General features: G+C 48.0%; 1 protein-coding gene across 5 annotated transcripts in view, besides 1 other annotated feature; it reads left to right on the top strand.

Annotated features, from left to right (window-relative positions):
* The window catches only part of TFCP2L1 (transcription factor CP2 like 1), a 68,616-nt gene extending 55,615 nt beyond the window's left edge, over positions 1 to 13,001 (top strand). For all 5 annotated transcript variants that reach the window (XM_017003902.2, NM_014553.3, XM_047444020.1 and 2 more), the window contains 2 exons: positions 3,975 to 4,026; positions 5,201 to 13,001. In XM_017003902.2, the coding sequence (XP_016859391.1) occupies positions 3,975 to 3,997 (23 nt within the window). In that variant the 3' untranslated portion in view covers positions 3,998 to 4,026; positions 5,201 to 13,001. The remainder of the gene's footprint in view (positions 1 to 3,974; positions 4,027 to 5,200) is intronic.
* Positions 11,818 to 12,319: an enhancer, noted in NCBI's record as "H3K4me1 hESC enhancer chr2:121974845-121975346 (GRCh37/hg19 assembly coordinates)". NCBI's record gives its function as "activates a minimal SCP1, AML or CMV promoter by ChIP-STARR-seq in primed H9 embryonic stem cells {active_cell/tissue: H9 hESC(primed)}" and the evidence as "EXISTENCE:reporter gene assay evidence [ECO:0000049][PMID:30033119]".

Genomic DNA, 14,501 nt, shown 5'->3' with positions numbered 1-14,501 from the left:
GGGATGTATAAAAATGTCAGGCTTTTCAGGGTTTGTGTATTTCACAGGTTGACATTACTAGTAATAATCCTCTTGCCACTTGTCATTAAACTGCCAGAGCCCTTGAATGTTCACGAGCACTTCCTCTCAGTCCTGGAGGCCAGCAAGATGGATGTTCCCTGTCTTTCACATTAAAAAAGTAATTTGTAATTAGTATAAGAAGTTAAGCAACATAGAACAGCAGAAGGTAGATGTGAAAAAAGCTTACCTCCCCCTTCTTTTCTCCTGGAATAGTTTCTGTTAAGTTTGATGTGATTCTGCAAGGCAATTTTTTGTGCTCTTGTCTCTGTGTGTGCCCTAGTGTATGTAGGTGTGGGTTTTTAAAACATGCAGTCCGGGCATGGTGGCTCATGTCTGTAATCCCAGCACTTTGGGAGGCTGAGGCAGGTGGATCACCTGAGGTCAGGAGTTCGAGACCTGCCTGGCCAACATGACGAAACCCTGTCTCTACTAAAAACACAAAAATTAGTTGGGCATGGTGGGTGCCTGTAATCCCAGCTATTCGGGAGGCTGAGCCAGGAGAATTGCTTGAACCCTGGAGGCAGAGGTTTCAGTGAGCTGAGATTGTGCCACTGCACTCCAGCCGGGGCAACAGAGCGAGACTCCATCTCAAAAATATAAAAATAAAAAAAAATTAAAACATGCAGCAAACACGCAGCCATACATTTATCTTATCTGCAACTTGCTATTTTTGTCACCAGTTCACCAGTTAAGAATTACGTTTATATTATTACATTCAAATCTAAGCGAGCTTTTTTTTTTTTTTTTTTTTTTTTGTGAGTCACGGTTTCACTCTGTAACCCAGGCTGGAGTGCAGTGGCCCAGTCACAGCTAGACTTATTGCAGCCTCGACCTCCTGGGCTCAGGGGATCCTCCTACCTCAGCCTTCTGAGTAGCTGGGACCACAGGCATGTTCCACCATGCCTGGCTAATTTTTTTTTTTTAATTTTTTGTAGAGACAACATTTCGCCATGTTGCCCAGGCTGGTCTTGAACTCCTGGGCTCAAGCAGTTCACCTGCCTTGGCCTCTCAAGGTGCTGGGATTACAGGTGTGAGCCACTGTGCTCGGCCTAGCTATTTTTTTTTTTTTTTAACTCCTATTTTACGGAGGAGGAAAATGAAGCCTGAGGTTCCTAACCTGAGAGCTGACTTTAGAATAGCCAGGAAGGTGGACATGCTGTGAGCAGTGGACAGCTGTAGTGTCACCGAAGGCTTGTCACTTTGCATTCCAAAATGAATTTCCTTTTGTGAAGACAAAAGCCAAAAATGTGGGGAACGCTTGCAATATCACGGGTCCCTGAAGGCAGTTCCTTCCTCAGCTTGTCCTGTGTGCTCAAGAGTAGGCAGTGAAGCAAGTGAAGCAGAGAGCAGAACCCAAATGCCACCTCGCCTAAGTAGGCGATTCTCATTCCCCAAAGTCTCCTTGCCTCTTAACCCCGAATCTATTGGAAACCTTTGGTTCTTAATTGCCCAGAGTGCTGGAGGCAGCCTGGCCAGCCGCGGAGCCGGCCCCTGGGGTGCAAGGGCACTTCATTAAACAAGAGAGTTACTGATTAAGCCCATGTGGGCTCTGCGTAGGGCTTCGCATGCCCAAGTGGCTGGGCTGCCAAGAGTGCTAGATGGAGCAGGCCAGCAGAATAGAGTAAATGTACTTCACGCATCATTAGGCCCTGTGGGAGGGGCGGGGGCGACAGGTGGATGGATTTGCAAGATTCGAGGCAGTAATCCAGAGCAGGCCATAAAATGTGGATGGCATTTTTTCAATTTGAAAAGGGGTTTTGCTATTGTGTTAGCTAGTGTGTGTGTGTGTGTGTGTGTGTGTGTGTGTATTGTATGTTTATATATTTTATTTTATTTTATTTTATTTGGAGACAGAGTCTCACTCTGTCACCCAGGCTGAAGTGCAGTGATGTGATCTCAGCTCACTGCAACCTCCGCCTCCTGCATTCAAGCGATTCTCCTGCCTTAGCCTTCTGAGTAGCTGGGATTACAGGCACCTGCCACCGTGCCCGGCTAATTTTGTATTTTTAGTAGAGATGGGGTTTCACCATGTTGGCCAGGTTGTTCTGGAACTCCTGACCTCAGGTGATCCACCTGCCTTGGCCTCCCACAGTCCTGGGATTACAGGCGTGAGCCACCGCGCCCGGCCTGTTTATATATTTTAAAAATATTCTTTAAATGTAAATTGTGAAATGCAGTATAAATATGGAAAAAATTTGTAAAACTTACTTATACAGTTAAAGAACCATTGAAGTACCCATGTACCTGCACTCAGGTTACCAGAATGTTACATTAGAAGCCCCTTTGTGGACTGATTTCATAACAGCCAACTGGCTAGTATGAATTTTCTATTAAACATTCCCTTGTTCCTCCTCAATATATTGTTTAATTTTGCTATTTAAAAACTTTCCATGAGTGAAATCATAGTGTATTCTTCTGTGATTTCTTTCATTTCACATTTTGTTTGGAAGGTCATGCATGTTGAAGTATACAGCTGGCGCTCATTGGCACTGCCGAGGAGCATGATTCCATCACATCTGGTTCATGCTTCTGCTGTTGACTGACGGGGCTGGTAGGAGTTTGGTGTTACTGCAGACGGTGCTGCGCTAACCAGCCTCATGCCCGTCTTTGTGATGTAGAACTTTGTCCAGGGCTCATGACTTGTAGGAGAATGTAGGAAAATTTCCTTGTTGGAAATGCATGGTCATTCTTACTGGGTCCCATGAACAGTGTTAGGAAGATTTACATCCCCATCAGTAGTGGACACCAGTTCCTGTTGCTCTACATTCTGGTTATATTTTTATCATTAAATCAGCCCTGTTTTACAGATAGGGCCATGGAGACAGGAAGTTAAAAAGGTTGGCTTGTCCAAGGTCACTGGGTAGTTCATCGAAATTAGAACTCCAGAGAGGAGGCTCCTGAGCAGAGTTGTTAGTTTCCTGCCACATTTATAGACACAGGTAGTGGAACCCTCCTTTATATTTTGTCTTTGTAGGACGCTGATGTGCAGATCCTACTAAGTACCAAGGTTTCTATTTTTAAAAACATTTTATTTAGTTGTTTTTCTCTGTTGCCATTAGTCACATACACATTCCTGTAATGCATCCGTTATAGAGACTGGAAGAATCAGTAACTAGGAAAAAGCAAAAATAGTGCAAACAAACATAAATCAGTGGTCCAGTATTAAATGGTAACATCTTGATTCCCGTTTGGGCCTCTTTCCATCCTTCATATTCATACTAGATGGTTGGGGTTATGTTCAGGTTTCTGTTACTTAAATTGCAATCATGTCACACCTTGATTCTGTGTCCTTATTTTTCAGTGAATGTTGTAGCAGAACCATGTTCCTGCTGCATTCGTAGACACTGTGGCAGTGGTGTTTACCGCATTCCCGTGTGTGTAGACACCGTGGCAGTGGTGTTTACCGTGTTCCCGTGTGTGTAGACACCGTGGCAGTGGTGTTTACCGTGTTCCCGTGTGTGTAGACACCGTGGCAGTGGTGTTTACCACGTTCCCGTGTGTATGGACACCGTGGCAGTGGTGTTTACCGTGTTCCCGTGTGTGTGGGCACCGTGGCAGTGGTGTTTACCGTGTTCCCGTGTGTGTAGACACCGTGGCAGTGGTGTTTACCACGTTCCCGTGTGTGTGGACACCGTGGCAGTGGTGTTTACCGTGTTCCCTTGTGTGTGGGCACCGTGGCAGTGGTGTTTACCGTGTTCCCGTGTGTGTGGGCACCGTGGCAGTGGTGTTTACCGTGTTCCCGTGTGTGTGGGCACCGTGGCAGTGGTGTTTACCGCGTTCCTGTGTGTGTGGGCACCGTGGCAGTGGCTTGGCAGTGGTGTTTCTGCAGCTGCGCATGGCTAGGCTCTGCCACCGAGGCTTTCCAAATGATGAACTCGTGGTTGAAGGAACATGTTCTCTCTTTTGTCTCTCAGATGGTGCAGAACTTCCAAGATGAATCCTGTTTTGTCCTCAGCACAATTAAAGGTGAAGCCTCCCCCTCCCCCTAGGGTAGTTGTGGGGGCAGGTGAGAGGGTGGGGCCTGCCTGCAGGATGGGCCCTTCCAGAGAGTGCTGACCTGGGAAAAGCCTTTGAGAAAAAGAAAGCACAAACTCTCCGTGAAAGCTAGCCCTAGAAATGGCAGAACTAGTGAGATTGGCCCCCAGGGTCACTTCTGAAAGGGAAATCCTGGGCCAGGCAACTTGTTTTCTATGAACTCAGTGTTGAGTAGAAGCATTGTGGGTTTCCTGGGGTCCTCCGGGAAGATCAAGCCTGGAATACAGCCACTGAGTCTGCAGGTAGCGTGGGTCGGGATGGGGGATGAGGGGGCCCACCTGACAGTGTGCCTGTGCTCTGCCGAGGAAGAGCCTGTGGGCCAAGAACATGTATTTATTCATAAAAGGTAGAGAAAGATCTGCTGTGGCCTTCCTAAGGGTTGGGGTGCATGTATAGGATATGTCAGAACAAAAGCCCTCTGACCGACTCATAGACCCTGGACCATGATGAGGCCACTTCCCACCTTGTCCCGTGGATCTAGCCACCGAGTGTCTTTTTTTTTTTTTTTTTGATGGAGTCTTGCTCTGTCACCCAGGCTGGAGGGCAATGGCGCGATCTCAGCTCACTGCAAGCTCCGCCTCCCGGGTTCACACCATTCTCCTGCCTCAGCCTCCCGAGTAGCTGGGACTACAGGCGCCCGCCACCAGGCCCGGCTAATTTTTTTGTATTTTTTTAGTAGAGACGGGGTTTCACTGTGTTAGCCAGGATGGTCTTGATCTCCTGACCTCGAGATCCGCCTGCCTTGGCCTCCCAAAGTGCTGGGATTACAGGCGTGAGCCACCACGCCCAGCCACCACCAAGTGTCTTTGGGGCCTTGGGGGCCATAATATCCCTGAGAACCACAGTTGTCCAAATCCTCCTTGGAACGTAGGTTTTCATCCTTGGGCCTGGGGCTATGGTAGAAAGACCTATTGTTAAAAAGACACTAAACGAGGCAGATGTCAGGGCATGTGAGATCCCTGCTTCTGCCAGCACGCTTTGCTGTATGCAGCCCTATTTTGGTGGTCTTTGCTGATACCCTAACAGCGTGCCTTTTGGGACTCCCCAATACTGTGGCACTGCACCTTTTTTCCTGTGAAATACACCCAGTGTTTCTCTCTTGCAGCTGAGAGCAATGATGGCTACCACATCATCCTGAAATGTGGACTCTGAGCAGCAGTGGACCTCATACCTGTCTCCAGCTCCCAGCCCTGTGGATCCCCGTGGATGTAGACATTGCCCCACTGTAAGCTGTGGCCTCACCAGGCAAGCTGAGGCCAGGAGGGACCCTGCCCAGTCTGTGAAAGCTACAGAGCACCAACCAGCAGAAGCCTGTGGACACCAAGTACGGTGTACAGAAAGCCAGTGGCTCCTTTCTCCCTTCCTCTTGGCCTCCAGATTTTGAATGGTTCCTTGTTCTTTTCTATTGGTCCAACCCTGACGTTCTAAAAGGGCAAACAGTGGAGACGTCTGCTCTGAAATCCCTCATCCCTTAGTTGGAAGCTGATTGGGTATCTTGGTGCTGCCTGTATTGGTCCCTTCTGACCACTCTCCTGCCTCCAGAGAAAGCTCTGCTTCACCCTGGAAGCTGGTACCTTTACCTCCTCCTCTGGGAGTTGGCTGCATGGCCAGCACTGCCGACTTGATGGGAGCAGTTTGCCCTCATTCTCCTGTTTCAGGTTTGCTTCCCTTCTCAGTGACCCTGGTGAGCATCCGCCTTTCCTGTTCTTGGATGAATTGATGGGAGTGGGGCTATTCTGTGCCTTCTACCTCTTTCTTCTCTACGTTGTTTCTAAGGATCTGCTGCTGCGGAACCCAAAGATGTGCTCCTGTCTCTGCACTGGCGCATTGGCATGGTAGATGCCACAATGTATGTGCACGGCCTTTCTCAGAGACATTAGTTCTGAGGCCCTTTGTGGGGAGGTTAGGGGGATGGTAATAGAAAAAGACTATTTTATTTCCTGGCAATCACGGGTAAGGAGGATTAGGAATGAGTATTCCATTCCTAGGTGTCATCAGATGACCTTGACCACCACAATACCAGGCCCTCTTGGATGGACTTATAGAAAGTTAGAGAAGACCTTGTTGAACCGCTGCTAAACTTGCCACAGGAGCGATGTGTTTTCTCTGAGTGCCCCTCACTTACATGTTTATCTTTGTTTGTAGAGGCTATGTTTAGGATATTTTGCCTGCATCAGAATGGGTGCATCATCTTTCTTAATGGCCTAACTATCGGGAAATTTGAGTGTCAGTAACTGTGGTAGACTCAGAAATTCGTCTTTGTCTTGCCTCTGGTTCCTGGGATCCAGTGATCTCTACTGGCCCAGGGCTTCAGCTCTTGGTTAATTTAGGTTCATGGGGAACCCTCTGACCACCTGAATGGGATGTCATAGCTTCTAAATGGAGCTTCTGTGGAATGAAGTGCTAGACTGAAGGACTACCAGAATAAAACAGGGTCTACAATGGGGAGAACTTGTTTTATAGATGAGGAAACCAAGGCTCAGAGGGGCAAAGTCACCTGCATGGTAGCACATAGTGATAGGGTAGCGATATAAATTTATCATATAAACCAGGACATCTCGGAATAAAAGGGGCTCTGTTAGTCATTATGTTGGGTAATAGCCGTGGCATTCCTACAGAACAGAGTGAGGACAGGCTCCTGATTCCTCTTCCTTCTTTAGAGGAGAAGCGGGGAGTGGGTTAACTAACAGCTTTATTGAGATGTCATTCACATGCCATTCAGTTTACCCATTGCTAGTGTCCAATTGTATTCACAGAACCACCATCAATTCACAGAATTACAGTCAACGTTGGTACATTTTCATCACCCCCAGTAAAACCCCGTACCCTTGGTCTGTCACTCCTGCTTTCCTAACTCCTGCAGTCCAAGGCAGCCATGAATCTACTTTCTATGTAAGATTAACCTACTCTGGACATTTCATATATCTGGAATCATGTGATATCTCTTTTGTGACTGGCTTCTTCCACTGAATGTTTTCTAGGGCCGTCCAAGTTGAGGATGTATCAGTACTTCATTCTTTTGTATTGCTGAATAATACTTCATTGTATAGATAGACCACATTTGTTTATTGATTCATCAGTTGATGGACATTTGTGTGTTTTTACTTTTTGGCTACTCTGAATGATGCTGCTATGAACATATTTCTACAAGATTTTGTGTGGACATATGTTTTCATTTCTTTTAGCAATATACATAGGAGTGGAATTGCTAGGTCTTACAGTAACTCCGTGTTTTAACTTTTTGAGAAACTGCCAGACTGTTTTCTATAGCAGCTGTACCATTTTACATTCCCACCAGCAATGTATCCAGGTTTCAATTTGTCTACATCCTCATCAACACTTGCTATTATCTGTCTTTTTGCTTTTAGCATCCTAATGAGTATGAAATGCTATCTTGTGGTTTTGATTTGCATTCCCCTGATGGCAACTGATGCTGAGTGTCTTTTCCTGTGCTTACGGGCCATGCGTATTTCTTTGGAGAAAGGTCTATCCAGGTCCTTTGCCTATTTTTAATTGAGTTGTCTTTTTTTTTTTAAGTTTTCTGTTTTCCTAACCACTAGACTACCAGGGATGAGCCTTCTTTTTATTATTGAGTTGGGTGAGCTATTTGTATATTCTAGACGCCAGTCTTTTATCAGGTATATGACTGGTAAAAATGTTCTCCCCTTCTGTGGATTGTTTTCAGTTTCTTGTTGGTGTCCTTTGAGACACAAAACTTTTTAACTTTGATGATTTCCAAGATACGTATTTTTTTTCTATTGTCACTTGTGCTTTTGGTGCCATATCTAGAAAACCATTGCCTAATCCAAGGTCAAGAAGATTAATGCCTGTGTTTTCTTCTAAGAACTATACTTTTAGTTCTCACAATGGTCTTTGATCCATTTCGAGTATATTTTTATATATGATGTGATGTAGGGGTCCAGCTTCATTCTTTTGCTTGTGGATCTCCACTTGTCCCACTGCTGATTATTGAGAAAAATATCCTTTCTCCACGGAATTGTCTTGGCATCCTTGCTAAAGGCCTCTGCTTCTTACTGGATCTTCTTTCCTGGGACATGGTGTCGTTGGGAAGCTTACCTTTTTTTTTTTTTTACTTAGTCTGTGTTTGGTTCCACCAGTTTTATGCTGCCTTTCTACTCTGTTCTTGCTGTCTCCCTCTTTACCTGAGTCAACGGTACTGAGTCCTATCTCTCTCTGATGTTCCCCAGTCTTCCTTGGTGCATGTTCTAGCTCCACACACTAGTCCTTGGAGGAAGGTTGAGACCAATGATTTCCTGTTATGAGTCATGAGGAAACTGAATCACCTAGAAGTGGAATAATGTGCTCAGGGTCACCATAGCCCATTAGTGGAAGGACCAGGACTAGACCTTTAGTCTTCTGAGGTCCAGCCCCTTAGGCTGTCTGTCATCACTGTACCCAAGTGATGTCACTACCAAGGCCAAATGATGGTGGGCTAAATTTTAATTCTCAAAAGTGTAGGAGGCTAATATTGTCTTCTAAGTTCCAAAAGAAGATGTAATAAAAGTCTGTTACCTTAAGTGTGCTATTAGTAGAGTCTTCCATTTTTCTGGCATGCCCCTGGCATCTGCTCTTCTTACCTTCTCGTGGTTGTAGTTAAAGCTTATAGCTTATGAAAGAATAGAAAATAATAAATACCAAAAAAAAGTACACATGGTAATTTGGTACCAAAATATCTCAGCTGCCTAATTTAGCAGCTCATCCCTTCCACAGGGGTCAGATGAGCTAAAGCTCCAGGTTTTATTTTTCATTTGATTGACATACAGAAAAGCCATAGCCCTTCCCACAGCTGTCCAGGGTCTTTCCTGTGAGTCCGGAGGTGCTGGCCTATTGAGCAGGACAGCTCTTCCCAGGGCATTCCCACCAACCTGTGGCTTCTGAACTGTAGCTTCTTTTTACAGTGAACCCCAGAGGGAAATAAGACAGACACATGTGCTCAGGCCACCATCTTGAACTGGAAGCCCAAAGCTGAGTTCCTTACTCTTAGGTCGTCACGGTTTTTGCGGGGTATCTGCAAGGTTGAGATAAACCCTTTCCTGTTTACCAGGTTGTCCTTTCTGGATGAAGGGACAGAGGCTGTTGAATGGAGGAATAATAGGTTTGCTGGAGGAGGGGCATGGTATGCCTGTGGAAAGGACAGGATGGGGTGGGGAGGTCGAGGCTTTGACTTGGGGTCCTAAACAAAGGTCAGGTGTTGCCCTAGTGACCTCTTGCCCAGACAGCCCAGAGCCCCTTACACAGAGCTATTAACCTAGGGAAGGCTTTACCAGCAGTGGACTGGAGCCAGCCAGGGTCACAAGTTTCCAAGTCCAGCATTGCTTCAGGGGCTGGCCTGAGTAACTGAAGATCTGAAAATCATTAACAAGTCGATGAAATAAACGGAAAAGCCTCTTAGGCTGTTGTCAGTGGAGCAGAGGGAGAAAGTCCCTAGGCGCTCAGAGGGGGTGAGAAAGCAGTGGATGATTGGGCGGGGGTGGGGGATTAGATGTTGACACTGCCTGGGGTGTAGGAAGAGGAACAGAGAACCCAGAGTCAGGGTCCTAGATCCCAGACCCTCGCTCAGTATGAGTCTCTTTGCCTCTCTGGGTCTCTATCTCCTCCTCTTACAAATACAGGCTTGGTGATCTCTGAAGATGGCACCAACCTGCCATGAAATGAATCTGAGGGGTTTTCCCATTTTTCCCTCCATCAAAATCGTACAAAAAGCTGGACGTGGTGGCCCATGCCTCTAATCCTAGCATTTTGGGAGGCCGAGGTGGGAGAATCACTTGACGCCAAGAGTTCGAGACCAGCCTGGGCATCGTAGTGAGACTCCATCTCTGTCTTTTTGAAAATAAAAAATCTTTGAAAATTGCACAACAGGCAGGAGACCTTTACGTGTGCCCATCCTGGTTGTACACAGTGCCACCAGTGCTCCTGCAGTGCAAGGCGGCATGCTTCTTGACATGGGTCAGATTGTGTCCATCGTGTCTTTGGGAATCAGCCCTAGCTCCTAACTGGGCTGACTACTTCCTCCGCAAACTTATGGGGGCTCCCAGATATTCCTTGCCAGCCAGGGGCCAGACACAGTGCAGGCACAGTCTGTGTCATTGGTGCACATGTGCGTGTTTACATGTGTACCTGGGTTCCTTCCCTTGCCCATGAATTTGCCATGAGCACAGCCAGAAGCAGCCTCAGCTTGGCAAGGTGTGGAGATGACTGCTGTTCCCTTCGCATTTGGGGAAAACAGGCTCCCTCGGTAGCTCGATGATCCTCTTTTGATCTTGTGTGACCTCCTGGAGAGTGGATGAAGCTGGTGGCCTTAGCTTTTCTAGACAGTGTAAGTGGCACTGGGCAAGGCCCCCAGAGCAGGGCAAGGTCTCTAGAGCGGGTCTCCCACATGACTGGCTTCACACAGGCACTTCCGCTCGGGTTGCATGCTCTGTGTCATCTTACCGGTCCAGGGTTGCAGGTAGGAAATGTTTGTACCCTCTTCTGATTGCCACCTCCTTCCCATCGCCCCTTAGGGACAGGGCTTGAGGGCCAGTGAGGCGCTGGTCAGGCACCCCAGGCCTCCTTGGGACCTGCCCAGGGGCACCCTGAGAGCTCCTGAAACCCCCACTTAGCTTCCAGACCTTTCTGCAAAAGCTCCTCCTGGCTTTCCTCCCTCCCCCAATCTATGGGTCACAGCTAACAGATCTGAGGGCAACTGCTGTGCTAGTGGCCAGGGCTGCACCTGCCATCCCCGGCTCTGCCACTTTAGGGCCTTCTAGAGGCAGTGTCCTTAGGAAGTAGCTCTGAGGCATGGGTTTTCTGCTCCTGTGCAGGGCAGCTGATGGGATAAGGTGGGGAAGGACGGTCAGTGCTTGGGCCCCAGCTGGCCAGCCTGGCGATGGGGAAACCAAACCATGTCCCCCAGCGAAGGGCCAGAGTGGGAACCTGTCCTCATGCCCTTCGTCCTGAGGAGCCCTGAGGTGGGCAGCAGGGGCCAGGGGAAGTTTTCAGGCCTTCATCAAAGAGAACAACATCCTCAGCTCCGCACCCCTCATCCTGTATCAGCACTTACCGGTGTGTGACTGCCCTTGTCAGCTAGCATACGGTGGGCCCACCTGGCCCACTGGCTGTTTATGCCACTGATTTATGATAGGGAATATTATCTTTGAACCCAATGAAGTGTTTTCTCCCCCATCACAAAAAAAAAAATTCTTATTTTTAGTAGACATGTATTTACCAAAAATATGTACTCAATTATTGTATTTTGGATTTTATCAATTTAAAAATTGTGGAAATTTGTTTGCTCTTACGCCAACATAATATTGATTTTGCCTCTTGGCTCTGAAAGCCCAAAATATTTACCGTCTAGCCCGTTACAGAAAAAGTCTGCTGACTACTGAGCCAGACCTCCATTACCTCCATCCCTGTTGGATTATTTAAAGAAAGCCTCAGACAGTAAGGGCTTTTTTAAAAGAATAAAATGACTTGGTTTGCGCTTGGAAGCAGGGGAAGCATTCAGATGAGCGGTTTCTGCATTAACCCTGCCTATCACGCATCTCGTGTCCTGTGTGGCTGGCGAGCCCCCCTTGGAAGGTTCTGGTGCTTCAGCTGGCTCCTGCAGAGTCCACCCCGCCTCGTGGTGGGAATGCAGAGCCCTTTGCTTTCCTTCTTGCCGCCTGCTTCCTGTTCCTGGGGACCCGCTGGGCCTTTGGTCTGCATCCCCTGGCCAGGTCCCTCAGGGTTGATGCGTGGAGAAGGACTTTGAGCAGTGGTGGGCAGCAGTGGCCTCCTGGCCAGCTCACACTCTTGTCCTGGGAGGGGCAGCCTGATCTCACCTCCACCTAGTACCTTGGGGACTGAGGACCTTTTGGCTTCTCTGGAGCCTGCAAGCCTCTTCCCATGTGTCCAGCTGCTCTTCCTGCTACAAAGGGGACTGCTCACAGTGGCCTCAGCTTGGTGGTTTTGAGGGGCCGCCCCCCGGCCCTCCATAAGGGTATCCTGGGCCTGAGAATTCTGCATCTGCCATTGGAGGATGGACAGCCTCAAATGGAAGGAGTCCCACGGGAGATGGGTCCGAGGTCCGGCTGTGGCCATCCAGCCCCCTGTGGCTTGTCCAGCCTCTGTGCACCCCTGGTGTCTTCACTCCAGGGGCAGACAGCAGCCACTGCAGTTCCTTTCTTCGTGAGTAACAGTAGTGATAGCAGCTGGGGCTAACAGGCTAGGCTTTGTGTTCTGCGCATTTGGTCAGCTTCTCACTCGATCCTCCCTAAAGCAATGGGGAGGCCCCCACTAGCCCAGTTTTCAGGAAGTCAACTGGGAGGTTAGATGGGGGCCAGGGTCCCACAGCTACTGATGGCCCGAGCCAGGTTGAGCTTCCTGGTGTCCAGTCCGGATCCCACTTGCAGATCTCATGCTCTCAGATAGGTGGGACAAGTTCTTTTGTCACAGTGCTGGCTCTGTCCTGAGGCCTCATTGCTGGCTGGGTGTGCTCTGCTGGGAAAAGCTTTGCGGGGCTTGCTTGGTTAACCACAGAAGAGAAGGGGACTGTTTGGGGTGCCTCTCTGCAGCCTCCCCGTGCTGGGTGGAAGCACGGTTACTGTGTTCTCTAATGTTCATGTATTTAAAATGATTTCTTTCTAAAGATGTAACCTCCACACCTTTCTCCAGATTGGGTGACTCTTTTCTAAAGGTGGTGGGAGTATCTGTCGGGGTGGTGTGGCCCTTGGATGGGTCAGGTGGGTGTGAGAGGTCCTGGGGAGGTGGGCGTTGAGCTCAAAGTTGTCCTACTGCCATGTTTTTGTACCTGAAATAAAGCATATTTTGCACTTGTTACTGTACCATAGTGCGGACGAGAAGTCTGTATGTGGGATCTGTGCTTGGGTTAGAATGCAAATAAAACTCACATTTGTAAGAAACCTCTGTGGCTCAGGCCTTGAGTTGTTTTGCTTTTTTGTTTGTTAGATTCTGGTAAAATATACAAAACATAAAATTTACCGTCTTCACTATTTGAATTGTACATGTCAGCGGTATTAAGTACACTCACATTGTTGTGCAACCATCACACCATCCCTCTCCAGAATTCTTAATTTTTTGTTGAGACAGGGTCTTGCTCTGTCACCCAGGCTGGAGTGCAGTCGCATGATCACTGCTCACTGCAGCCTCGACCTCCCCAGGCTCAGGTGATTCTCCTAACTCAACCTCCCAAGTAGCTGGGACTACAGGCGCGTGCCACCATGCCCAGCTAATTTGTTTGTATTTTGTAGAGACGGGGTTTCACCATGTTGCCCAGGCTGATATTGAACTCTTGGCCTCAAGCAATCTGCCCACCTCAAGCACAGTGGCTGATGCCTATAAATGCTGAGATTACAGGTGTGAGCCACCACGCCCAGCCCAGAATTCTTTTCATCTTGCAAAACCGAACCTTTTTACCCATTAAACACTAACTTCCCGTCCCCCAGTGTTAGTCCATTTGCATTGCTACAAGGAATACCTGATACTGGGTAATTTATAAAGAGATTTGGCTCATGCTTCTGCAGGCTGTACATGGCCTCAGCATCTGCTTCTGGTAAGGGCCTCAGGAAGCTTACAGTCGTGGCGGAAGGTGAAGGAGAGAGCCAGCATGTCACAGGGTGAGAGAGGGAACAAGAAAGAGGGAGAAGGCGCTAGGCTCTTTTAATCAGATCTCGTGTGAACTCAGAGAGGACTCACTCATTATGAGGACAGCATTAAGCCATTCATGAGGGATTTGCCCCCGTGACCCAAACACCTCCTATGAGGCCCACCTACTACGTTGGAGGTCACATTTCAACTTGAGATTTGGAAGGGACACGTCCAAACCGTATCAACCCTAGTCCCAGCCCCTAGCAACGGCTTTTCTCATTTCTGACTCTATGAGGGACATCATAAAAGTGGAATCATATAGTATTTGGCCTGTGACCGGGGTGTCCTCAAGGTTCATCCATATTGTAGCATGTCTCAGAATTTACTTTTTTCTTTTTGGTTTTGAGACAGTCTTGCTCTGTTGCCCAGGCTGGAGTGAGATGGCATGATCTCTGCTCACTGCAATCTCCGCCTCCCAGATTCAAACGATTCTCCTGCCTCAGCCTCCCAAGTAGCTGGGATTACAGGTGCCTGCCACCATGCCCGGCTAACTTTTGTATTTTTGTAGCCATGCCCATTTTTGTATTTTTGTATTTTGTATTTTTGTAGCCATGCCCAGCTAGATTTTGTATTTTTAGTAGAAATTGTGTTTCGCCATGTTGGCCAGGTTGGTCTCGAAGTCCTGACCTCAGGTGATCTGCCCTCCTCGGCCTCCCAAAGTGTTGGGATTATGGACGTGAGACACCGGCCAGACTCTCCTTCCTTTTTAAGGATGAATAATACTGTTGTATGGATAGCCCACATTTTGTTTATCC

Source organism: Homo sapiens, chromosome 2, assembly GCF_000001405.40.
Source record: "Homo sapiens chromosome 2, GRCh38.p14 Primary Assembly".
In the NCBI taxonomy this organism is placed as follows: Eukaryota; Metazoa; Chordata; class Mammalia; order Primates; family Hominidae; genus Homo; species Homo sapiens.
Note: the sequence above shows the minus strand (reverse complement) of the source record. Positions and strands in the feature narration are given on the sequence as shown.